This window comes from Homo sapiens, chromosome 18, assembly GCF_000001405.40.
Source record: "Homo sapiens chromosome 18, GRCh38.p14 Primary Assembly".
NCBI classification, from domain to species: Eukaryota; Metazoa; Chordata; class Mammalia; order Primates; family Hominidae; genus Homo; species Homo sapiens.
This window is the reverse complement of record NC_000018.10, coordinates 58683124-58710179: the sequence shown is the minus strand read 5'-3', so window position 1 is coordinate 58710179 and position 27056 is coordinate 58683124. Positions and strand designations below refer to the sequence as shown.

General features: G+C 41.0%; 1 protein-coding gene, 1 long non-coding RNA gene and 1 pseudogene across 7 annotated transcripts in view; 1 reads left to right on the top strand and 2 right to left on the bottom strand.

Moving 5' to 3' along the window:
* MALT1 (MALT1 paracaspase) overlaps window positions 1-27056 on the bottom strand; it is an 83013-nt gene that overhangs the window by 44298 nt on the left and 11659 nt on the right. For all 4 annotated transcript variants that reach the window (XR_007066087.1, NM_006785.4, NM_173844.3 and 1 more), the window contains exons 3-6: window positions 13693-13814; window positions 9589-9739; window positions 624-802; window positions 108-204 (exon numbers count right to left, since the gene is read on the bottom strand). Coding sequence is in view for 3 of the 4 variants with exons in the window: in NM_006785.4 (NP_006776.1) it covers window positions 108-204; window positions 624-802; window positions 9589-9739; window positions 13693-13814 (549 nt within the window). In the remaining variant the exon portion in view is untranslated. The remainder of the gene's footprint in view (window positions 1-107; window positions 205-623; window positions 803-9588; window positions 9740-13692; window positions 13815-27056) is intronic.
* LOC105372146 (uncharacterized) overlaps window positions 1-27056 on the top strand; it is a 107606-nt gene that overhangs the window by 70039 nt on the left and 10511 nt on the right. For 2 of the 3 annotated variants that reach the window (XR_935537.3, XR_935536.4), the window contains exon 2: window positions 12913-13003. This is a non-coding gene — a long non-coding RNA (uncharacterized LOC105372146). Of the gene's footprint in view, window positions 1-12912; window positions 13004-15271; window positions 15509-27056 lie in introns of those variants that run through there. The other variant, XR_007066391.1, reaches the window with a different exon arrangement.
* MRPL37P1 (mitochondrial ribosomal protein L37 pseudogene 1) lies at window positions 18578-19824 on the bottom strand (annotated as a pseudogene).

Here is a 27056-nt window from a genome sequence, read left to right as displayed (position 1 = left end):
AATAGTATGGGGTAAAAAGTATAATTTCCTTTGCTTAATTAAACGTTGCAGTTTATATAGCTTATATTATAGTCCACTTGTCAGAACACTGGGGAAATACTTCTTACCTATGATGATTTCTACCTTCTTGCTATCTTGACTGTCTCGATCATTATATACATGACACCAGTAGGTTCCTTGGTGTTCCAAATCCACATAAGGCACCTATATCAATATTAGAACATGTAAATGCTTCCTCTTCTATTTTAATGGCTTGGAGAAAAAATCATTTTGTGTTTTAAAAATACGCTCCAAAACATAACATCTTAGAAGGCTTTAGACATTTGTTACATTAGCTCCATTCATCAGGTTAAATACCAGCAAGTAAATGTTGTAATGATTCCAACAGTGCTGAGTTTCATGCAATACTATTTGACATTTTACATATAAGCCTGAGTTGAATTCTAGCACTTTAGCAAATATAAGAGCTAGTTAATATGAAATCATAAGGGACTTTAAATAAAAATACTGAAAACATTAAAACATCTGAAAGGATATGAGTTTTAATGTTCACCTTATATTTCAATTGTACCATTTGTTTTACATGTTAACTCCCCCAAAAGACCCCAAAATCAACTTCCTACCATGTATAGCTTTTTGGTCTCATGTGTTAATGGTAATTCATTTTTGAACCACTGGTAGTGAGGAATAGGGCTTCCAACAGCAACACACTGTAAAACCAATGTGCTGCCTGGCATCAGCTTTTGGGAAGTTGGTTCAACACAGATTTGCAACTTGGATTCAGAGACGCCATCAACACTTCCTTAAATTAAAAGAAAAAATAAAATCTCTAGGTTAAAAATAAAAATAAAATTTCCCTATAATTAAAGAGATGTGTCAAGTTCCCCCTTCATTTGTTACAATTTTTAATAACATTTCCCAAACTGTTTAAAAAAACTATAGCACTCATAGAAATATTACGAGATATTCTGTGGCCAAAAGAATGCTGTGGACAAATAAACTTAGAAAATTCTGGGTTAAACACATTTCTCGATTGCAGGACTTCTCAAAGCTTTAAAAGTGTTAGTATGAATTGTCAATTAAGGAGAGGAATATAGTTCAAGTGTCTTCTAAATGTGTTTGGCTGCAGAATCTTTTTGATCGAGGCAAACAACTTATTAACATCTTGAACGATATTGGCATTTAACATGGAAAGCTCTAAGTTCCGTTCTTTGACATACTGAAATAAGTTTTGTAACCCGCACTGAATAAATATTGGTGAGTTATCACTAACATTTCTACCCCAGGCAGATATTAGACATCATTTACTTAACACTCATTTAATACTCTTTAAGTTTCCTGAAGGCAAAGAGCTTGTCAATTTTATGCAACAAGTCTCCATTATGAAACTCAGTGTCTAACACATTACAGGTGATCAGTAATATTCATTGAATGAATATGATTCCACTTATAGATATATTATTACATGCACAAAAATAGTCTAGAAAGATATGCATTGCTCTCTTAATTCATCAGGATTATTTCTGGAGACTGCTCCACTCCCACATGGACACCTTACCGGGGCTTTGATATCCTGCTCTGGGTCATCCCAGTCCCTTCCCACTGCCTCCCACCCCACACAAATGTCTACCATGTTTGGTGCCACCTAATGCCTTTAGAACTGAGTTGACAAGGAAGGGTAAGCCAGCTGAATGTTTTACAAAATTTTAAAGGCAGACTGTGAGCTGGCATTAGGGTAACCAGTGGTCTCAGTTTGCCTAGGACAGAAAGGTTTCCCAGAATGCAGCACTTAAAAGTGCTAAGACTAGGAAAGTCCTGGGAAAACCAGATGGCTGGTCACCCCTAGTGGGCATGACCAATTAGATCCTCAAGGAACCCCAGCTGCAAAAGATTCTGCCTCACTCACCAACTCCCTGTCTTCGGCCCTTCTCAAGTGCTCTTGCAGAAGGCGAAGGAGGAGAGGAGAGCTAAAAGATCACCTGTGAAGTGCAGGTCCACAGGGCCTGTTGAAGGCTGACGGCACAACAGAGGCCTGAGGGAAACCCTTGGAGGCCCACGAGGCCCTCAGTGAATGCAGTGCCTTTGCTTTCCAAGGCTGGCTGGGGGCAAGGCAGCTAGGCAGGGGGGTCTCAGACCCCCTGAGACATAGAAGAGACAAGGGTGGGGTTGGTGAACAAAAATGCTTCAGTGGTCCAATAAGCTGAGACTCTGGATGTAAAGTGGAGAGAGATCTCTTGCAGTTTGGCACTAGAGCTGTAAAACAGAGATTTCTAGTCTTCTCGATATGTCAATTTCAGTCCTGCCAAAGGGAAATCCTCATTCTACCCTCAATTCCGTCAGTAGTAAACTGAATACATCTAAAGCACAGACCTAACAACTACAAACTGGATGGACTCATACCCCTATTCTAGTAGCCATTACGAGGGGTGTGTCTAGTTCCTGAGCATAAAAATATTAATTTCAATCTCTATATGTTAATGTGTAATATGTTAATCTCATATGTTAATGCTATTTTTCTTTTATACTCAATGTTCAGCATTGAATAAATAATTATGAGACTTACGAAGAAGAAAGAAAATGTAACCCTGTCAGGGGCTGGGGAGTTAGGGTAGGGACAGCATTAGGAGAAATACCTAATGTAGATGACAGGTTAACGGGTGCAGCAAACCACCATGGCATGTGTATACCTATGTAACAAACCTGCACGTTCTGTACACGTATCCCAAAACTTAGAGTATAATTAAAAAAAAATTTTCTAATGTTGAAATAGCCTCACATTTCTAAAATAAACCATGTTTACTTGTTAAAAAAAAAAAAAGAAAAAGAAAAGCAGAGCTGACCTACATTCTGGAATTATCAGATAGAGACTCACATTAATTCGAAGATAAACATCTTAAAGGATCTGGAGAAAAAGGCAGTTAATCAACTTGCACAGAAGATGGTGGCCAACTTACAATTTCAGCAGTGAGAAATTGAAGAAAAAAAAAAGAGCCAAATGGAAATAACAGAAATTTAAAATATCAAGATTTCCACTCATCAGTGCATTCGATGGGCTTACCAGCAAACTGGTCACACCAAAAAATCAGTAATCTTGAAAACAGGTTAGAAGAAATCTAACTGGAAACAAAAGAGATAAAGTGAAGGAAAGAAAAAAAAAGAGCTTACAAGATCTGTGGGACAATATCAAATAGTCTAACATACATATAATTAAGAGTCCCAGAAAGAAAGTAGAAGAAAAATATTTGGAGATTATGGCTAAAAATGATTCAAAATCGATGAAAGATAACTTACAGGTCCAAGAATCAGAGAATTCCAAGCAGGAAAAATTCAAGGGAGCAATTATAAAAGGAATAAATAAATTTCCATGATAAACAATGGAGGCCAAAAGACAATGGAATGGCATCTTTAAAGTGGTGAAAACAAACCAACACACCTCTAAAATTCTATACACGACGAAAATATCCTTCAAAAATGAAGACAACAGATTAACAGAATTCAAATGCTGAGATAATTTGTCTACAAATTATTACACAAATAATTTTTACAAATTATTACAGAAAAACAGCAGACTGTAACCATAAGAAGTATTAAGAGGAATTCTTCAGCCAGAAGGGAAATTTTACTTGATAGCAACCTGGGTCAGAAGGAAAGACTCAAGAGTGCCACAACAGGTAACTATGTCAGTGAATATTTTAAACAAAATCTTTAAAAATTATACACACGTGGGCTGGGCGCGGTGGCTCACGCCTGTAATCCCAGAAGTTTGGGAGGCCGAGGCAGGTGGATCATTAGGTCAGGAGTTCAAGACCAGCCTGGCCAAGATGGTGAAAAGCCATCTCTACTAAAAATACAAAAATTACCCGGGCACAGTGGTAAGAGCCTGTTATCCCAGCTACTCAGGAGGCTGAGGCAGGAGAATCAGTTGAATCTGGGCGGCAGAGGTTTCAGTGAGCCGAGATCACGCCACTGCACTCCAGCGTGGGTGATAAGAGTGACTCACCCCGTCTCTACTAAAAAATACAAAAAATTAGCCAGGCGTGGTGGCGGGCGCCTGTAGTCCCACCTACTCGGGAGCCTGAGGCAGGAGAATGGCGTGAACTCAGGAGGCAGAGCTTGCAGTGAGCCGAGATCGTGCCACTGCACTCCAGCCTGGGCGACAGAGAGAGACTCCATCTCAAAAAGTCAGGAAACAACAGGTGCTGGAGAGGATGTGGAGAAATAGGAACACTTTTACACTGTTGGTGGGACTGTAAACTAGTTCAACCATTGTGGAAGTCAGTGTGGCGATTCCTCAGTGATCTAGAACTGGAAATACCATTTGACCCAGCCATCCCATTACTGGGTATATACCCAAAGGACTATAAATCATGCTGCTATGAAGACACATGCACACGTATGTTTACTGCGGCATTATTCATGATAACAAAGACTTGGAACCAACCCAAATGTCCAACAATGATAGACTGGATTAAGAAAATGTGGCACATATACACCATGGAATACTATGCAGCCATAAAAAATGATGAGTTCATGTCCTTTGTAGGGACATGGATGAAATTGGAAATCATCATTCTCAGTAAACTATCGCAAGAACAAAAAACCAAACACCGCATATTCTCACTCATAGGTGGGAATTGAACAATGAGATCACATGGACACAGGAAGGGGAATATCACACTCTGGGGACTGTTGTGGGGTGGGGGGAGGGGGGAGGGATAGCATTGGGAGATATACCTAATGCTAGATGACGAGATAGTGGGTGCAGTGCACCAGCATGGCACATGTATACATATGTAACTAACCTGCGCAATGTGCACATGTACCCTAAAACTTAAAGTATAATAATAAAAATAAATACACACACACACACACACACACACACACACACACGTACTTTTACAAGATTGCTCAAAAGTAAATGTCGAAGTAAAATATATGACAACAAATATACAATGGGGGGCACAATGAAAGTATACTATATAAGGTTCTTATATTTTAAGGTAGAATATGTAGAAGGTTTACTACAATAAGTTAGAGGCATACTGTAATCTCTAAAACAGCCACTAAAAAATAACACTAAGACACAGCTAAAGTCAATAAAGGAGATAAAATGGAATATTAAAAAATGCTTTTTTGGCCGGGCGCGGTGGCTCACACCTGTAATCCCAGTCCAAAAGAGGTCAGGAAAGGAGGATCAAAAGAGAACAGATGAGACTAACTGAAAACGAACATCAAGATGTCAGACTTAAACATAATCACATTATATGTAAATGGACTAAACACCTTGAAAGAGACTTTTTTCTAGACTAGAGCAAAAAGCAACACTTACCTGTATTCTGTCATCTAAAATGAAACTTTAAACAAAGACATTCCAAACTAAAAGAATGAAAAACATATACTATACAAAAAAGCTTATGAAAGAAATGCCATGGTTCTGGCCAGGCGCGGTGGCTCATGCCAGTAATCCCAGCACTTTGGGAGGCCGAGGTGGGCGGATCGCTTGAGACCAGCCTGGGCAACATGATGAAATCCCATCTCTACCAAAAATACAAAAAATTAGCCAGGTGCAGTGGTGCATGTGTGTGGTCCCAGTTACTCAGGAGGCTGAGGTAGGAGGATGATTTGAGCCTGGGAGGCAGAGGTTGCAGTGAGCCATGATCGTGCCACTGCACTCCAACCTCGGTGACAGAGTGAGACCCCTTCTCAAAACAAAACAAAAAAGAAAGCTTCCATGGCTATATTAGTATCACACAAAGTAAACTTCAAGACAAAGAGGATTACCAGAGATAAAGGAGCATTTCATAATGACCAAAAGCTTAATTCATCAATAAGAGCTAACAACCAATGTTGGCCAAGATATGGGGCGAGTAACCTGAAATCTTATACGCTGTTGGTGGTAATGCAAAATGGTAAACTATTTTGGAAACTTTGGCAGTTAAGAAAAATTAAACATATATCTACTCTAGGATTCAGCAATTCCACTTCTATGTAACTATCCAGAAGAAATAAAACATATGTCCAGAAAAGGTCTTGTATGAGAATATTCATCGTAGCTTTATTCATAATATTCCAAAACTGGACACAAACTAAATGTCTATCAACAGGAGAATGAATAAACAAACTAGTCAATCCATACAATGGAATGTTACTCAGCAAAAAGATGGGACTGCCTAATGATACACTGAACAACATGAGTAAATTTTAAAAACATTATGCTGAGTGGAAGAAGCTGAATATAAAATATCTAGACTGGTCAATGACTATATATATGTTAAATGGGTACATATACCCATGTTATATATATGTTAAAACTCACTGGACTGTACACGTATCTGTACATTGTACTGTATATAAATTACCCCTTAATAAAAAATGGGATAAAAAAGTTAAATAAAATTGAGAAAGGTTGATATGAGTTGGCTGTGTCCCCACCCAAATTTCATCTCGAACTGTAATCCCCACATGTTGAGGGAGGGACCTGGTGGGAAGCGATTGGATCATGGGGGCAGTTTCCCCCATGCTGTTCTCGTGACAGTGAGTTCTCACAGATCTGGTTATTTACATGTCTGGCATTTCCCCTGTTTGCTCTCTCTCCCTCCTGCCACCATGTAAGACATGCCTTGCTTTCCTTTCACCTTCCACCATGATTGTAAGTTTCCTGAGGCCTCCCCAGCCATGCAGAACTGTGAGTCAATTAAAACTCTTCTGTTTATAAATTACCCAGTCTCAGATAGTACCTCTATAGCAGTGTGAGAATGGGCTAATGCAGAGGTGCATGAGGTATTTTTTATTTAAAGAAAATGGTGATATTTTCTTTTTTTTTGAGATGGAGTCTCACTCTGTCACCCAGGCTGGAGTGCCATGGTGCAATCTTGGCTCACTGCAACCTCCGCCCCCTGGGTTCAAGCGATTCTACTGCCTCAGCCTCCTGAGTAGCTGGGATTACAGTCACGGGCCACCACACCCAGCTAATTTTTGTATTTTTAGTAGAGACAGGGTTTCACCATGTTGGTCAGGCTGGTCTCAAACTCCCGACCTCGTGATCTGCCTGCCTCGGCCTCCCAAAGTGCTGGGAGTACTGGTGTGAGCCATTGCGCCTGACCGATATTTTATTTCTCAACAACCTTAACGTCATTTGAGTTTACGGAAGACTAAAGTGAGAGAAAAGAATGAGACAGCAGCATTTTAACTCTTTTAACAAAAAGTGTTTTCCTCCCTATCCTTCTTTTTGTCCAGCAAATACAACAAAGAACATGGTTCTTGACTGTGCACCAAATAAACAAAATAATATCTGACAACTACTCTTTAGAGGAGACTGGTTTTTTGTCTTGATCAATGCTAGTTATTGCACTAAAAAGATGGAGCAGAGTGAGTAGCAAAGCAGTCTGATGAATGTTTCCTTGCAGTGAATGATACACTCACTACATGGCCTTTAGTGCTGACATCAACGCTAGAGTTTTTTTCCACAAGATCATTTTTTAGGAGCAATACAATAGTTTGGGAGAAAAATACGCATTATGGAAAAGAATTGAAAAGTGAGCAGCAAGACTACTATATGAGAGTTTTTTCTCCTACAAAACTGAAGACCACAACATTCAAATTCATAACAAACTGACCTCTTCTTGATTCATATCCTAATTATAGAACTCAAGACTATCAGGTCTCAAATGCTATGTGCTTATCTACTGATCTACTTTTTATAATGATCATATTTAGTATTCATGAGTAAGAGTAACTTCAGGAAATAGCATTTTTCCATGATGTTAGTTTCACAATGTTTCTTTTTCTTATTTTTTGAGATAGGGTCTTGCTATGTCACCTAGGCTGGAGTGCACTGGTGTGATCCCAGCTCACTGCAACCTCCGCCTCCCGGGCTTGAGTGATCCTCACACCTCAGCCTCCTGAGTTGCTGCGACTACAGGTGTGCACCATCAGGCCCCATTTTTTTTTTTTTTTTTTGCATTTTTTTTGTAGAGATAGGGTTTTGCCATGTTGCCCAGCATGGTCTTGAACCCCTGGCCTCAAGTGATTCACCCGCCCCAGCACCCCAGCTTCCCAAAGTACTGGGATTACAGGTGTGAGCTACCATGCCAGATCCACAATCTGTTTCTTAAATAAGGAAGTGTTCTAGATATCAAGAATCCTTCAGAGATTTTTAGGTAGCTTTGAATTTGTGCTTTAAATGTAAGAATATTAAATGTTTTTGATGGAAATATTTCCGTCTCTACTTTGTTAAACAGAATTCACCCTGGTTCTTCATTCTGTCAACAAACATCTACTGAGTGCTATTGGTTATTGAGTGTTTGTTTTTACGAAAGATTATTAAGACCGAGACTTTCCCTTCAGGAGTTCAGTTAGATAGGGAGACAAGCCTGACAACACAAACAACCAAAATATAGAAATACGTTCAAAAGATTAACTTTTGGGAGAAAGAGGTGGTAGCAAGAAAGTCTTCCTGCTTTCTGTTGTAGCAGATAATCTTTCCTGATAGTTGTGTAAGTAGTTTGGGGTCAGGGGCTCTCTCTCATGCTTAGTTTAAAATAGCTGTAACATCGAAGCCCAAGGCTGTGCCTCATGAGGGTGGTCAATGAATTGCATAACTGGTAAGCGACTACTACCTGCCAGGCTTTGTTCTAAGAACTAGAAAGAGAAAAGGGAACTCCTTATCCCTACACTGCTCAGACAGCTAGCAAACAAATAATTTCAAAATCAATGCAACGAGTTCTATAATAGAGGTAAAATCAGAATGCCAAGGCAGCAGAGGGAGCTGAGGCTTGAAAGAGTCATAAAAGTATGACAGACAGAAAAGGTATTCAAGATGGAAGGAAGAAGTGACGCAAAGATGTGGAGTGTGAATATGCAAGACATTTCGAGACCATGGAAGCAGCAGGGAGAAACGAAGTTGAATATAGGTGCCGTGTGTGAGGGCAGAGTAATGGAACATGAAGGAAGGCAAACTTGAAGAGGTCAGTGGCAGCGACCAGACTGAGGCCTGTCTATGTCATCCTAAAGTATCTGCACACACACATATATGTGTGTGTGCATGTGTGAACGTGCGCGCACACACACAGAAGGACAATTAAAGCAGGCCGGGCATGCTGGCTCACACCTGTAATCCCAGCACTTCAGGAGGCTGAGGCGGGTGGGTCACCTGAGGTCGGGAGTTCAAGACCAGCCTGGCCAACATGGTGAAACCCCACTTCTACTAAAAATACAAAAATTACCCAGGTGTGATAGCATGTGCCTGTAATCCCAGCTACTCAGGAGGATAAGGCAAGAGGAATCACTTGAACCTGGGAGGCGGAAGTTGCAGTGAGCTGAGATCAGATGGCACCACTGCACTCCAGCCTGGGCAACAAAAAGACTTTGTCTTAAAAAACAACAAAACCAAAAACTAAATTAAAAAAAAAAGAAAGACAAAACACATGGATCAAATCTTAACAATGGTTGACATTATAATGGATGAAGTACCTATGTGAAATTTTGCTATGTTTTTTGATACTTTGAAATTGTTTAAAAGTAAACATTTAAAATAAAATAAAATATGGGGAATCCCCATCCCAACATTCAGCTTCTTTCGTTACTTACTCTGGAAGCTCTCTGGGATGTCGCAAACATCCAGCTGTGACCACTGGCTGAATTCAAAGGTGAAATTGTTATTAACTCGACAGACATAAAAGCCTGCATCTTTTACATGCACTGCATTAAAAATAAGCTCTGATGTATTTCCATTTGGAATCTGTGAAAGAATCAATAAGAGAAGTGGATGACTCATCAAAAACACACCTTATAAAATATGCTGTACAAAATCTATGATTTCAGTATGAAGCTTTGAAAGTGCAACATTTTTCCCCCAAGTTCTAAAACATTTCTGAGTTAAAAACAGTAACGCTTTGAGTTATTTAGGACTGAAGTATTAAAAATCCAGTCTTTTACAAATCCATAAACCAGAGAGTTAAGCTGGCCCCCAAACATCTTCCAAAGGCTCACTAACAGAAAACTATTTGCTCTGGCATTTAAGAGATCAATCACTGAGTATTGAAAGAATCTACAACTGCAACATTTATGAGTTTAGCAGCCATACAACATACAAACACCACAGCGGCATAGAGAAAACACAGAGAATTGGGCTTGGCTATTGCTTTCAGCTCTGACCACATTAGCTGGGAAGACGTGGGCAAGTTATTTCACCTTGAGACCCCGGACCTTCTGATCTGCAAAATTCTGTAAGAGGATAAACTCCTTAACCAAACAATATCCAATCTCCTTCAAGGTCTAGACAGAGAAGAGCTATGGAAAGCATATCAATGAGACAGTAAGACGGGATGGCCATCCACAGTCCCCACCTCCAATAGTAAGGTTTCTTTTATTAATGCTTTTTCTGCTCCCAGCAATTGATCAGCTACACCCAACTTTGGCACATTGCCAAGGGGCTTACTCAAGTGCCTCATTACAATAACTCCCTTGCAAAGAACAGGTTAATCTGATGATTTAAAATCTGAAATACTCCCAAATTCAAAACTCTTTGAGCACCTCCATCATGCTCACTGGAACATTTCAGATTTGGGATGCTGAACTTTTAAGTATACAATGCAAATATTTCAGCACCTAAAAAAAATCCAAAATCTGAAATACTTCTGGTCTCAAGCATTTCAGACAAGGGATATTCAACCTGTACTTTAACAAGCTCACCTCCTCCCTCTCCAAACCCCAAGTTACTGAACTCTACTCTCTCCCCTTTCAGTACCTACACCAAAGCAAGAGTATTTTGCTCAGGATGTGACAACTGGGATGACAGGCTGCACTTACAACTGCCTGACAATCCTACTATATCGTCCTAAGTGTGTTTTCCTTCTAGACTATTGATGTATACTCTTTCCTCAAACTTCCTGTAATCCTAGTTCTCTTAGGCACTGACTTCAGACAGAAATTACCTCCTTTTTCTGCCAACAAATCACAAACCTATCCATGTCTGTACTTATTTATAACTGCTCTGTTCCCTCCTGTTAAAATGGAAGATGTATCCTCTTAACAAAGGCTACTTGGGCTGAAGATCTGTGGAGACCCACTCAGAACCCCTGAGTTGGTATGAAGATTATATTAAACTGAAGACATCTGGGACTCAACAGATACAGAAAGAAGTCTTCTCAGTCTTCCTTTATCTGACCCAAAACAGAAAGTTCTGGGAAATGAGGCTGCCATAAATTCCCTCGTGGGGCAGCTTTTACCCCCAGGCAACAGACCAAGAGTAAAAGTACCATAAATCTCTCTTTGGGGACTTTACGGTCACAATGAAGAGGAGATACCACTGGTGCCTGCATGAACAACATTACCACAAACTTTGCTATCTTCCCTTGTTCTTCTCCCCTTTGTCTTTCCTGAAGAAACCCATCCATTATGCTCACAGGGCCCCTGCCTTTCCCTACTAAATTAGCTACATAACTTAACCAGTTAGCAAGCTACTCCTTCTGAAAGCTCTTGCATGCACACAAATAAGCTTTTTCTCCGTTAATCTGTCTTCTGTCAATTAATTTTCCAATCTTCAACACCTCAGTATATAACACATCTCAGATGCTCAGGTGGAAAGCCTAAGGGGTCATCCTTGATTTCTCTTCCTTCTCCCCATGCTCTACATCTAATCTGTCAGCTTAGTTGACTCTCTCTAAAATATACACTGAATTATGCACTGTGATCCACCTTCTCTTCTCCACGCTACTGCTACTTCCAGTCAAGCACAGGTATTAAGACAACTGCTCACCTTGCTGTTCTCTGCTTCCTTCAAGCCGCAAGTTTATGTTTTAAAAACATGAATCCTAGTCGGGTGCGACAGCTCACGCCTGTAATCCCAGCACTTTGGGAGGCTGAGGCAGGCGGATCACGAGATCAGGAGATTGAAACCACCCTGGCCAACATGGTGAAACCCCGTCTCTCCTAAAACACAAAAAATGAGCTGGGCGTGGTGATGCGCGCCTGTAATCCCAGCTACTCAGAAGGCTGAGGCAGGGTAATCGTTTGAACCGGGGAGGTGGAGGTTGCAGTGAGCCAAGATCGCGCCACTGCACTCCAGCCTGGCGACAGAGCGAGACTCCATCTCAAAAAAAAAACAAAAAAACAAAACAAAACAACAACAACAACAACAAAAAACCCCACGAATCCTACCATGTTACTTCCCTTGCTTAAAACCTTAGTAGCTTCTCATATTATGTTGCCACCCTGTTGATTTTCCTCATAGCTCTTAACTCACAGGAATTAACAGTACTTGCTCTGTCCCCACTGGCGTGTAAGCTCTTTGAGGGCAGAGACCTTCTGGTCAGTGCTGTATCATCACACCTAGAACATGGCCCGGCACAAAACAGGTGCTCAACAAGCACTTGTTAAGTAAACATCTCCTACAATACTCCTATGATCATGTGGTTTTACAAAACTTAAGAGTTTTAAAATCCATTACAACTCTTCAACTCTAAGATGCATTTTCCATCCCCTACATTTCTACCTTTTTCCAATCAGGACATAGCTTACAAATGATATACTTAATGTAGTAGGGTTTTTCCACTATTTCTCCTCAAAGGGCATTTAATAAAATGAAAGTAACTTTGCAATTGAGAAAATATGATAAAAAAATACCTTTAGGTGCAATCTTTCAAGAGCCTAGGCACGTAAAACATCCTGTCTACTTAATTCTCACAACCTCTGATGATAGGAATTCACATGGCTAATAATGGCAGTCAGAGTTCCAACACAGACCTATCTAGTGCCAAAGCTACATGCAATCTTTTTACTACATTCCACAGTTGCTCTGTCTTACCTCTGTGTAACAGACGGAAACAAAATCGTATAAAACCACAGAATTCACCTACAGTATGAGGCAATCCAATTAAAGGAAAAGTCATTCTCAGAACAGCTTTTATTTAGTTTCAGATTTGCAAAGGGAGACGTGACATCAAGTTTGGAAGAAAGCTGAATTACTGGGACTAACAGAGTGAAAAGAATATGGACTTTCAAGGTACTGTGGAAGTGGGAGGAGGATAGAGAGGGATGGGGGGATCGAAGATAAAAGCCCACAGAAGTGGGACACAATGCAGGCAGCCAGCCCACTGAGAAATCCCCAGTGCAAGATGGCTCAAGGAACTCTGAAGAAAAGAGAATTCTAAAATGTGAATTTAAATTATTTGTTGGGTGCTGCAGGGATCCAATCATTTCACAAAAGGAATAAATGGCCCATTCTGCCCATCTGAATTTTACTTCAGAATCTACCACAAGGTCCTAAATCTTCTGATACAGATAAAACAGTGATGTGGAATTCTTAAAAAGAATAGCACATTAACTTTCCATATAGCCTTGAAAATCTTTTAAAGATTTTGGTTGGAACATAATCTGTTGTGAAGAGTTTGTATACACAAGAATGTACTGGTGATGTTTTATACTCGCTAACACTGCTGCCCTAAGTAATCCCTATTTTCCACAATTTTTAGAGTGGAGAACTAATTTCATTATTGTTTACAATGTTTTCATGAGACAATTCTGGAACTGTCTTACCAAAATAATGACTATTGACTACTTCAGTAATAACCTAGCAATGTCTATCAGACTCTTTTACCAAACTGTTAAAACTACATTTAGGACGATAATGTTAATTAATTCTCTATCATTCTCTCTCCTTGGAAGAATTAAAAGATATATTTAAAAAATTACCTCTTTATTCATTTTGAACCACTGATATTGAACAAAAGGATGTCCAGTTGCCCGGCAACACAGTTTCACAAACTGTCCAGCCAAGACTGCCTTTGACTCTGGGTTTACAGTAATCTTTATTCCTAAAAAAAAAAAAAAAAAAAAAAAAAATTAAAGTCACAAGAGGGATTTTCCTTGTTTATACATCTGAAACCAAAAATTGAAACATTTTAGAAATAACTTGCATATTTATCTTTGTCATAAATCACTCATTCACATCTCCTTCTCAATCAATTTACACTTTGTGAGTTGCAGCTTTTGTAAAATCAGAGGAAAGAAACTTACTTGCAGAAGACTTTGATCTATTGTACTTCCCCATGATTGGGTGGGGGAGAAAATTATTTACCATATTTCTTCAATTTCTAGAAGCTTTTTTCCCCCATATTCTAACACTTCTGAAATCAGGATGCACCTTATAACAGATGCCTGTCAGGCACAGCCACAGGGTAGTTCTCAGTGTTAGCTCATGGAAATGTTTGGTCATAAATGCTCATATGGCTGCCACTTCAGTCAAGTTACGTGCACTGTTAGTAACAGACGTGTTAAGTTGCAATGTCTGCTATTGTCTGAATATGTGCCCCCAAATTCATGTGCTGGAAACTGAATCCCCAATGTAACAATGTTGGGAGGTAGGGCCTAGCGGGAGGCTCTACCCTCACGAATGAATTAATGCCGCTGTAATAACGGGGTTTGCAGGTAGGTTCTCTCTCTTTTGCCATGTGAGGACACAGCAAGAAAACCTTCATCAGAAGCTGGTTCTTTGATCACGGACTTCCCAGGCTCCAAAACTGTGAGAAATAAATGTCTGTTCTTTAAAAATTACCCAGTCTGTGGTACTGTATTATGGAAGCATGCAATGGACAAAGACAACACCATTGAAAACGTCTTCAAATGACTGCATTATTATTTAGTATTGAAATGAAAATGATTTTGGAAGAGAAAGACACAGAAACAGAGCAGTGAGATATATATTTGATATACCTGTGACACAAACATTCCTCATTTGAGGAATAACTGCCAACATCTAAGCTTGGAAGACTTTTGACAGGAATTTGGAAGAAAATCCTAGTCAATAATGGAACACCCCCAACTCCTTCTCTTGCCTCTCTCTCACTCACTCGCCCCAGGGAAGCACATGACTGTGGCAGGAGGCCATTCAGGTAGCCCTGCAGAGAGGCTCAAGTGGTAAGAGTATTAGTCTGTTTCACACTCCTGATAAAGGCATACCCACGACTGGGCAATTTACAAAAGAAAGAGGTTTAATAGACTTACAGTTCTACGTGGCTAGGGAGGACTCACAATCATGGTGGAAGGTGAAAGGCATGTCTCACATGGCGGCAGACAAACGAGAAGAAGGTGCGGGCAGGGAACCTCCCCTTTATAAAACCATCAGATCTCATAAGACTTATTCACTATCACAAGAACAGCAGAGAAAGACCTGCCCCCATGATTCAATTACCTCCCACCAGGTCCCTCCCACAACACATGGGAATTCAAGATAAGATTTGGGTGGGAATACAGCCAAACCATATCTCTACAGAAAGAAACAGATCTCCCGCCACAGCCAGTGAGGAAATGAGGTCTCTTGACAACACCTGTGAGAGAGCCATCTGAGAAGATCCTCCAACCCTGGGGAAACCTTCAGATGACTGCAGACCTGGCTGACAGTCTGACTGCTGCCTCACGAGAGACCCTCAGCCAGGACTACCCAGCTAAGCCACTTCTGGACTACTAGCCTCAGAAACTGTGTGAGATAATAAACAGTTGTTGTTTTTCACTTCTGACTTGGGGGTAATTTATTAATGCAGCAATAGATAACTGACATAAAAGAAACCAAAGCTAGAAAAGCTTACATTTGCAAAAGTTGTAATTAATAAAACTGGGTTAGCTGGCTTTTAGGAAGTAAAGAAAAAGATAATTAAAACTTATAAAACTTAATTTCCTGCACCTACTTTTATTTTCTTTCCTTGTCTATACTGAATGTGACCTCATAACAGTGTCTTTTTCTTCTACCACCCACCAATGCAAAGAAACAAAACAAGATTACAAGTAAAAAGGAAACAGTGTAAATAACAGTAATCTTAATACATCAAAGGTACTAAACTTTCTAGGAAAAAAAATAATGTTCATGAAAGTCACAGCACAAAGATACTAAATAAAAGCAAAATTAAAAATGAGTAAATATTTATTGTATACCTAGCACATTTGAGGGCCTCGAGAAGCCCTAGAAAATCTTTAGTAAATATAGTAGAGCCTCTCAGAATTTTAAACTCTTGCCAAGGGAGGACATTCATATTCATTAATCCTTTATGTCGAGGCCAAGTTAGTACAGGACGGATGAAGTTCAGAATTTTTCTGAAATCTGTGATACATGTTGGTAGGAAAGGTGGAAAATGGGATAAGCACTCTTGCTGAAGCCAGCAAATTCATAACACTGTATTTTAATGTCCCCACATTTACCATTCATCTGCCAGGAGAGTTTTACATCACAACTTTAAAATACAAAGATTCTGATTTCCCAAGTTTCGATGTGACAGGAAAAAGTTGCAACAATGACAAAAGAGAACAAGTAATAAATCTAAAAAATATAGGAGTTTTGGCTATCCTGGCTTTAAATTTGAATGTCCTATAGCCACCACCAATTTTATATGTCCCAAATCCCTTCTGACACAAAATCTACTCCTCTGCCAGTCCCCACAGTTTCCCCATCTCAAAGATGGTAAACCAGTCTTACTGCCTACCACCATCCATCTGGTTACTCAGGACAAAAACTTTGCAGTTTCTTAGCATCATTCTTAAGGGCCCTAGGATTTTCAGAATGGTAAATGGGCACTGGCTTCAACGTAAAGTTGTCAGCTGCATTGGCCCCTAACAAGAGTCAGCCAGGCACTGACTTCTCTCTAGCTATCAAAGTTCTAGATGACATCTTCTTCCAATAGAAGGCTGTTTCATCTACACTGAAAAATCTGTTTATTATAGCCATTTTCTTTAATTATCTTAGCTAGATCTTTTATTGCTTTTTTGTTTTGAGACAAGGTCTGTCTCTGTTACCTAGGCTGGAGTGCAGTGTCATGATCTCGCTCACTGCAACCTCCGCCTTCCAGGTGTAAGCAATTCTCCCACCTCAGCCTCCCGAGTGGCTGGGACTACAGGCAGGTGCCACTGTGCCTGGCTAATTTTTTGTATTTTTTGCAAAGACGGGGTTTCACCATGTTGCCCAGGCTGGTATCAAACTCCTAAGCTCAAGCAATCCTCCTGCCCTGGCCTCCCAGAGTGGTGGGATTATAGACACCATGATCAATTACGAGCCACCATGCCTGGCATTAGCTAGATCTTCTGGATGACTTGCTGCAGCTTCTCCACTAGTACTTGCTGCTTCACTTTGCACTTTTATGTTACAGAGACAGCTTATTTCCTTAAACCTCATGAACCAACTTTTCTTCCGCAGCTTCCTCACCTCTCTGTCTTCACAGAAATGAGGCGAGTTAGGGCCTCACTCTGGATTAGGCTTTGGCTTAGGGGCATGCTGTGGCTGGTTTGATCTATCCAGACTACTATAACTTTCTCCATCTCAGCAATAAGGCTGTTTTGCTTTCTTATCATTCGTGTGTTCACTGAAGTAGCATTTTTAATTACCTTCAAGAACTTTTCTTCTGCATTCGCAACTTGGTTAACTGGCACAAGAGGCCTAGCTTTTCAGCCTATCTCAGCTTTTGATATGCCTTCCTCATTAAGTAAAATCAATTCTAGCTTTTGATTTAAAGTGAGAGACATGTGACTCTTCCTTTCACCTGAACACTTAGAGATCACTGTAGGGTTATTAATCAGCCTAATTTCAATATTGTTGTGTGTCACTGTTCTTTCACTTGAACACTTAGAGACGATTGTAGGGTTATTAATCAGCTTAATTTCAATATTGTTGTGTCTCAGGGAATAGGGAGGCCCAAAGAGGGAGTGGGGAGGTGGGAGAGGAAGAGGGACAGGGAGGGAGGGAGGGAGGGAGGGAGAGAGTGAGAGAGAGAGAGAGAGAGAGAGAGAGAGGAATGGCCAGTCGGTGGAGCAGTTGGAATACACATGACATTTATCAATTAAGCTCAACTTCTTATAGTGGCATAATTTGTGGCACCCCAAAACAATTATAATAGTTTTTTTTTCCTTTGCAATGCAAGGGCTCTTTATTGTCAGTGAGACCACCAGGCTAGATGAGCACTGAGGCTCCAGGGGGACCCCAGGCCCTCTTCAGTGGGAGAAGGCAAAGGTGGGTTTCGGGCCTCAGAATGGTCCTTGGCTCACGTAGCACCATGTAAATACAGAGCTAAAAACTTCCTGGATGTCTCCCACTGGAAACCAGTCAGCCCAACGCATTCCACAACCACCCTCTTTTTTTTTTTTTTTTTTTTTTTTTGAGACGGAGTCTCGCTCCGTCGCCCAGACTGGAGTGCAGTGGCGCGATCTTGGCTCACTGCAACCTCTATCTCCCAGGTTCAAGCAATTCTCCTGCCTCCATCTCCTGAGTAGCTGGGATTACAGGCACGTGCCACCATGCCTGGCTAATTTTTTGTTGTTTTTTTTTTTTGAGACGGAGTCTCGCTCTGTCACCCAGGCTGGAGTGCAGTGGCGCAATCTCGGCTCACGGCAAGCTCCGCCTCCCGGGTTCATGCCATTCTCCTGCCTCAGCCTCCTGAGTAGAGTAGCTGGGACTACAGGCGCCCGCCACTACGCCCAGCTAATTTTTTGTATTTTTAGTAAAGACGGGGTTTCACCACGTTAGCCAGGATGGTCTCGATCTCCTGACCTCGTGATCCACCCACCTCAGACTCCCAGTGTTGGGATTACAGGTGCGAGCCACTGGGCCCGGTCCCACCTTCTTTTTTATCACTGGGAGACACCAAAAATGCTGAGAGAGTAGCTGGCATGATTCCACCCAGACCAAACTCTTGCCACACTTGTTAAGAGGCCAGGTCTGTGGTGTTCTACTGTAACACCAGGAAATGGAATGCACGTCCGTCTGTGCATGTACTCTGCACAACCACGGGCTGCTCCGAGATCTTGGTGTCATTGCCACAGAGGAGCTGGGCCTGAGCCAGGGCAATGCCAAAAGCAAACAGGATCATCTTGGCCCACAGCTGATCTGGTTGAAGGCTATGTGGTTGCAAATCGGCTTTCTCCAGGAAGTGCAGGATATGGAGATAGGGGTAAGGATAGCCCTCCCAGAATCCTGTGTCATCTTTCACATCAGAAACATTGCATTCCTGAAGATCAGTAGTGGGGAGAGGGGACAGAAGGCCTCGAGAACATGATTTTTAGTAGCTTCAACCTCTTCTCTGGAGGAGATGGCGGGGGCAGAGGATCCTTGGCACTCAGCCGGCTCCACTAGAACCATGACCCTGAAGAACAGACACAATTCCAGGTGGTGGATAACGTGGAGTTTTGGGCACAAATCTGCCTGGCCAGAGAAGGATGCCTGAGAATCTGAGACTTACACAACTTTATCAGACTGTCCACAATGACCAGACAGCAGGCCTCTCTCCTGGGGCCGTACTCAGTACAGTGCCAGAGACAGGCATGAGAGATCAAATTCAGAAGACGCTCATCTTGGTTCTCTATGTGGTTCCTTGTATCATCAACAAGGCCAAGTACTTTCTCAGGAAGGCATTTTATTAACTTGGCCTCGGTAAGCCAGAGGGCCTGCTTGACACCCCTGAGAAGGCGGCAACGCTGGTGAAAGACATAGCAGGCCTGGTCTTTGTATGGTGGCTGCTCGTGAATGGAGCTTGAGCAGCAGAACTTTGGGTGCTTCGAGCCAGGGTCCCAGGGTCGTGAACGGGGTGAACAGAATTTTGGGTGTTTCTACCCAGGGTCCCAGGGCAGGAAGATCAGCGGTGGCAGCCCGGGCGTGAAGTACATCTCTCTCACAGAGGGGATGGGCTCCGGTCCAGGGATCTCGTACACTCCATCCAGGGGAGGAGGCTCTGGCTTCCACATGGAGTGCATGCCCCACTCACAGGCTCCACCTCTCGGGGCCCCGAAGCTCCCAAGGTTGAGCTGCCTGGAGCTAGTCAGTGCCTGCCTAGCGGCACCATACTGATCTGCCAACACCATACTGATCTGGTCTTAAGACCACCAACACCATACTGATCTGGTCTTAAGACCGCCACCTGGATGCCACCATCTTACCAGGCACCAACAATCACAGTAGTAACACCAAAGATCACCGATCACAGATCACCACGACAGATATAATGAAAAAGTTCGAAATATTGTAAGAGTTACCAAGGTGTGACACAGAGATATGAAGTAGGCACATGCTATTGGAAAAATGGCACTGACAGACTTGCTAGACACATGGGTGCCGCAAGCTTTCAACTTGCAGAAAGTGAAGTATCTGCAAAGTGCAATAAAGTGAAGCATAATAAAACAAAGTGTGCCTGTACTTAGAATAAAAAATCCAGATTCCTTACCATGGCTACAAAGTCCTCCACGAACTGCTCCTTTGGCCCCTCCGCTCTTCTCCAGGCTCACCAAGCTCCAGCCATACTGGGCCTCCTTCCTTCTATAAGCCAAGCTCTTTTCTGCCTTTCCACTTACCAGTCCTCTGCTGGGTTCTCCCCACAAGCTCCGCTTTGCCATCCCCCGCAACCGCCACCCCACTGGCTTCCACTATTCTACTGTTTCATGGCAGGCTCTTTCCTCATCATCCAGGTTTCTTACTAAAATATCACCAGCTTCTCTGGGAAATGTCTCTAAATTAGGTACCCTCCCACCCCCCAGTTATCTATTACATTCACCCAGTTCAGTGTCCTTCACTCTCTAAAATCCCTGTTTCTTACTGTCCGTCTTAGGTATTAAAATAGAAGCTCCATGAGGGCAAGGCCAAGGACCTTGATGGTCTTAGTCACCAGTTCATTCAGCACCTAGAATTGTGCCCACATATGGCACTGCAGTGGGTGTTAGTGGGTGTTCAACACGTGTTTGTTGAATATATATAATAATAACAGAAATTACTACAGCAGCAAGTTACTGACTGCTTTACATGCACCAGGCATTTTTATCACTAACCTTTGAAATAACCACACAAGGTAGATACTAATTACATCTATGTTACAATGAAAAAAAGGTACGTAATTTGCAGAAGGTCACCCAAATTACCTGGGGTAAATTAAACTCTCTGAGACTTTTTTTTTTTTTTTACATTGTAAAATGGCAGAACCAGGATGCAAACCTAGGTTTTCTTGCCTTTTAAAGGTTTTAAACCTTATGTTTTGCTTTCTCAGTGATTCTGTCTTTTTGTTTTTTTGAGACAGGGTCTCACTCTGTCACCCAGGCTGGAGTGCAGTGGCATGATCAGGGCTCACTGCAGTGTCAACCTCCTGGGCTGAAGCCATCCTCCCACCTCAGCACCCCCAATAGCTGGGTCTACGGGTGTGCATCACCATACCCGGCTAATTTTTGCATTTTTTGTAGAGGCAGGGTTTTGCCATGTTGCCCAGGCTGGTCTTGAGCTCCTGGGCTCAAGCAATCCACCTCACCTCAGCTTCCCAAAGCACTGGGATTATAGGAGTGAGCCACCATGACCGGCCTCTTGGTGATTCTCAATATATCTCCCACGGTAATCCCGCTTTCTGCCACAGTGAGCCTACCTTACTGAGAAAGTGTATCACACAAAGAGCAATCCCACACCAGGACACGGCTCATGAATATACCATGGCAAATATTCTCTGCCATTATACAAGGAGATAAGAGACAAGAAGGATGGAAAGGGTTTTTCCTCTAGAGTATCTTACAAAGAAGCAGGTGACTACTGGAAAGGGATCATATGGCCAGGTTCTAAAAGTTATCCTTCCTTTGTATGGGACACAAGACTAAGTGATTTTTAAAATTAGTATTTTTTTTTTTTTTTTTTTTTTTTTTTGTAGAAACAGGGCCTCATTATGTTGCCCAGGTTGGCCTCATATGTTGCCTGGAACTGCTGGCCTCAAGAGATCCTCCTACATTAGCCTCCCAAAGTGTTGGGATTACACGTGTGAGCCACTGTGCCTGGCCAAGACAAAGTAGCTTTTAATGTACATCTAAATTAACAGTTTATAAGCCTGTCCTGCACCAACAACTTTATTAATAAGCGTGTGTGTGTGTGTGTGTGTGTGTGTGTAACATATATATACAATTTATTGCTTCAAAGACTGAGAATTGAAAGGCAAAATGTGATTTGGAAACCACCCCTGGTGAATAGTCAAGAAAATGAGTTGCAATACCTCCCATGTTTTAACCACACAAATTTCCTTCCTCCCACAAAGCCTTGTGCGACAGGGACCCATGGTCAACCCTTAGCCACCCCAATGCAGCACCCACTAGTGAGAAGGTGCTGAACAAAGGTAAAAAAAGAATATGGTATAGTGCTACGTAGGCTGTACGAAGGCATACAAATGAAAGTTCTATTTTAAACGGTGAACACACAGCTTCCTGGTAAACAAGCATATTTTTCAGATAACATCTACAAAGAAGTCAGAGAAGTTACTTGATTTCCTGTAAGCCTGGGAGAATGTGACTAGGTACGATGGAACCAAGGATCGTGCTTTCAACTACACACACATATGCCGATAAACAAGTACATGCTATTAAGCAATAAAACAAAAATTTAAAACCCTGCTGAAATTATAAGAAAGATAAATTAGGATAATTTTTGACAAAAGGACACATAGCTTCCCTTGAAGTTATTCTCTCTCACGACGCATTTAAATGTTGATGTAGTTTATCAATAAATACTTTTTCCAAAAACAGATCTATTCCATACACTGAAGTCCATCTACTTTCAGAGGCCATGAAACAAAAAAAGATTTTTATCAACTTCCATCTAAAACTTGTCCTCAAAGTTACTCTGCAATCTTCTATGCTATCACAGAAGAGTACCCACATGCCCTACAGTGTGCCCAAATAAATATCATTCCTCTTCCTCTAACAATTTCCCCCAGTATATAACCAAAGTAGGTCCATGTGTGTCCCTCCTACGGCATTACACAAAGTATGTCCACATATGTTTCTCTTACATGTCAATTGAAATCTGTATAGATTATAGCTAAATCTAGTTTCCCACATCACATCCCTTATTCTGTTACATTGCCTGAGACTCCCCTCCACACTCCACATCCAGAAAGACATTCCTTCAGGCCTTGCTCACCAGCCCTTTCTCTCCCTCTACTTATTCCTTATCCTCATGCACATCCATACCATCTTTTTCTCTTTTCACTTCTTGATATTTTTCTTTTAGGAATAATTGCCAATTTCCTCATATTCATGAAATAAGAAAAGTCCCTTACAAATAAGATCCAGTCTTTGAGCACTTTTTAAGTTGGCAAGAAGAAAAAAATTGAAGTCCATGGGTCAAAGAGGCAACTGAGGTAATAATACAGAACTAAGTTTCTTAATTCAGAAATTTCCTAGCATTATGGAAATGGTATTGAGTTCAGGTCAGGGTCAGCAGACCTGGTTTTTAATCCTACCTTTGTCAATAATTGTGACTTTGGCCAAATGATCACTTTTGGAAATCTCATTTTCCATGTAAATGTTTGTTGGTTAAAATTTAAATGTTCACAATAGCACTGTTCTGTCGCTTCACAGAATTGTGAAGATAAAATGTGAAGTAAAGGTATTTTAGAAACTAAAGAATAACATTAAACAACCTTTGCACTTATTTTAGAGATAAAGTAATAAAAATAGCCAAAACATAACAATGCGTATGTTACAACGGATCTGAGAAAAAAAGGTATGAAATAAAAAAGGAGTAGAGGCAAATGGAAAAGGTGCCACTGAAAAGATGGCACATGACCCTGCCACAGACATCTCATAGGTACCCTCAGTGAGGCACCTTTCATATGAAGAGTGAAATAAAATGGCAATATTGCAGCACTGGAGCTGAAAAGCAACTTGGGATTCATCTTAATGAGATCCACATCAACAATGCTAGTTCTCTCTAAACAGCTCCCATCGTTCAGCCTCTGCTCTGCCCATTCCAGGTTAAGGGCATCACTTCTCCAGGCAACCATTTCGTGATGTATGTAACTAGGACTGATGAAGCCTATAATTCTACACTCACAATGTTTTCACTTAAAACAAAAGAAACAAATAGGCTGTGTGTGGTGGCTCATGCCTGCAATCCCAGTACTTTGGGAGGCCGAGGCGGACGGATTACCTGAGGTCAGGAGTTTCAGACCAGCCTGGCCAACATGGTGAAACCTCGTCGCTACTAAAAATATAAAAATTAGCTGGGTGTGGTGGCGCGTGCCTGTAATCCCAGCTACTCAGGAGACTGAGGCAGAAGAATCGCTTGAACCTGGGAGATGAGGTTGCAGTGAGCCAAGATCGCGCCACTGCACTCCAGCCTGGGTGACAGAGTGAGACTCAAAAAGCAAACAAACAACAACAACAACAAAAGAAACAAAAGCACCTTGAACTACACATCTAAGTCTATCTATACAGATGTCAATATTGGTTGCTTTGGAATCAGTCTTTGAAACTTAAATAAGATCTAAAAAAAAAAATCATTACAGACCTTTGGTTCAAAACCCTTTCAACACATCCATTTAACCCCCTTCTACAATTCCCACTGAGATGAGCAAAGGAATAAAAGTAGGGAAACAATTTACTAGCGCTGGAAAATGGGATGAACACCATCCACAAATAAAAACTAGAAGCGATTTCTCTATCATATAATTCAAGTAAGACCACACTGAGGGGCAAGTTGGCCAACCCATGTGCAGTGGAAATGCTCGACAAGAAAGAAAGCAACAGAGAGTAAAAACCTCGATCCTCTGAGGCTCCTTCACAAAATATATAAAATTATAATTCCAGAGTGAGTTTACACTCAGACTACATGCTGAGTGACTGCTGAAGCTGGGTCCTCATCACAGAAACTGCTCTAGTTAGAGATGCATGGATACTGCTCTAGCTATTTCTGGGCACCAAAACAAATCCAGAAAAGAAACTTGGTCAGTTTCTCAAAAGACAGAGAAACTCCACATGACAGTTACAGTTACCTTTCAGAGCTACCTCTGACTGTTGTTCCACCGTCACTTGGAACAGAATATGGCAACGTAAGACTATAGTTTCTCGTTTAATCAAAATAAATCTAAAGTTTCCCCATCTCCCTGCATTTAGACCTCAAAGGCCAGTTCACAGCATAACCCAAACCAGGCTTCTCTCTGTAAGGACAGAGGAAAATCATCAGACTTCCTGTGGAATAAGAAGTAATGTCCTCCTATGAAATAGTACCAATGCAAAAAAGAGAGAAAACATTAGAATATTTCTATTTTGTATTTTCACTAAGACTCAAGAATATAGCAAAGAGAGAAAACTGGAGATCAGATAAACTTACTATATATATATATTTTTTACAACTGTCTTGGATATGATCTTTTATATGTTTGTCTCCCCTACTAAACTATGACCTATCAGCAGGTGGAAACGATTGTTTTATTCATCTCTAAACTCACAGTACCTAGCATAATGCCTAGCACAGCAAGGGCATTGCAATACAGTAAACTTTATTGAATACACGAGGCAAACCACCAATTAAGTTGATTCTATCAGAGCTTATCTTCTTAATATAATTAAAATAGTTTTTATTCTCAATATCTTTATTAAAATATTAAAATTCTTCTCTGTAATTCTTATATTTCTTTATTCTACTATCTATAAATAGAGTAAGTTGGCTGGGCGCAGTGGCTCACGCCTGTAATCCCAGCACTTTGGGAGGCCGAGGTGGGTGGATGACCTGAGGTCGGAAGTTCAAAACCAGCCTGATCAACATGGAGAAACCCCATCTCTACTAAAAATACAAAATTAGCTGGGCGTGGTGGCACATGCCTGTAATCCCAGATACTCGGGAGGCTGAGGCAGGAGAATCGCTTGAACCTGGGAGGCAGAGGTTGCGGTGAGCCAAAATCATGACATTGCACTCCAGCCTGGGCAAGAAGAGCAAAACTCCATCTCAAAAAAAAAAAAAAAAAAAAAAAAGAGTAAATCTTAGATTATGCATATTAGATGCAGATAGTAAGCTAACAAATTAATTACTTCTTCCTAAAATTACTGAGCTTTATTAGATCTCAAAATGTTTGCTGTTAAATCAATAACTAACATTCAAGCAACAACCAATTCCTAAGGATATTATACGGCTAACATGACATAAAACTTCACAGAAACAGTGCACAAGTGGTAACACAGAAACAGGGCGGTGGCTCCCGCCTGTAATCCCAGCACTTTGGGAGGCCAGGGCAGGTGGACTGCTTAGAGCCCAGGAGTTCAAGACCAGCCTGGGCAACATGGCAAAACCCCGTATCTACCAAAAATACAAAAATTAGCTGGGTATGGTGGTGCGTGCTTGTAGTCCCAGCTACTCAGGAGGCTGAGGCGGGAGGATTGCTTGAGGCTCCGGAGGCAGAAGTTGCAGTGAGCCGAGATCATATCACTGCATTCCAGCCTGGGAGACAGAGCAAGACCCTTTATCACAAAAAATTTAAAAAACAAAATAAAACAAATAATATTTCCCTACAGCTCACAAATGTACTGAAGAGAAAATTAAAAACAAAAAGAAAAAAATAAACTGCTTTCCTTTCCTATTCTCTCCTCAAATGCAAAAAAGCCCTATGAGATAATCTTGAGAAAGTCTGTAAGCCAAATATCATCAGGATAATCTTCACTGGGGAACACTGATAGAAAAGTGCTAATCCTATTTGGAGAAAAACACAAAGAGCAAAAATGGATTTTTCAAAGGAAGATTACTAATGTTTATTAGGGTGGCACTTTATTAGTTGCTGGCCTGTCAAAAATAAAAATATAAAATATTGTGTTATTTTTAAAATTCAGGCAAATTGTTACACCTAAGTAAATATATGACTCAATTTCAGTCAAGCCCGGTTTCACATATGGGAAACTTAAAAATTCCGAAACCCTAGCTCTCAGGCCAGTGATCACAACACAAATCAAAAGAGATATGAGGCCCCTGTCATTGTATAGATGAAATTCAACACAACATTATCTCATGCAGCTCCTATAACTCTGTGAGGTAGAGAATACTTATGTTCATATTATAGACTTGGCAAATAACGGTTAGAGTAATTAAGCATAATTATTGAAAAAGAGAATGAAATACATGTTATATTTACTTCCCAGAAAGGTTTCCTAAGCTTTCAGAGGCCCTGGTATTCAATAAAGTATGAGAACTTAGTAAAGTAAGCAAAAGTAGACTTTACTAGGTATGAGACTTTACTAGGTATGAGAACTTGGACTTTAACAGTATGAAACCTAGACTAGTAGATTTCAAATGTCACAAC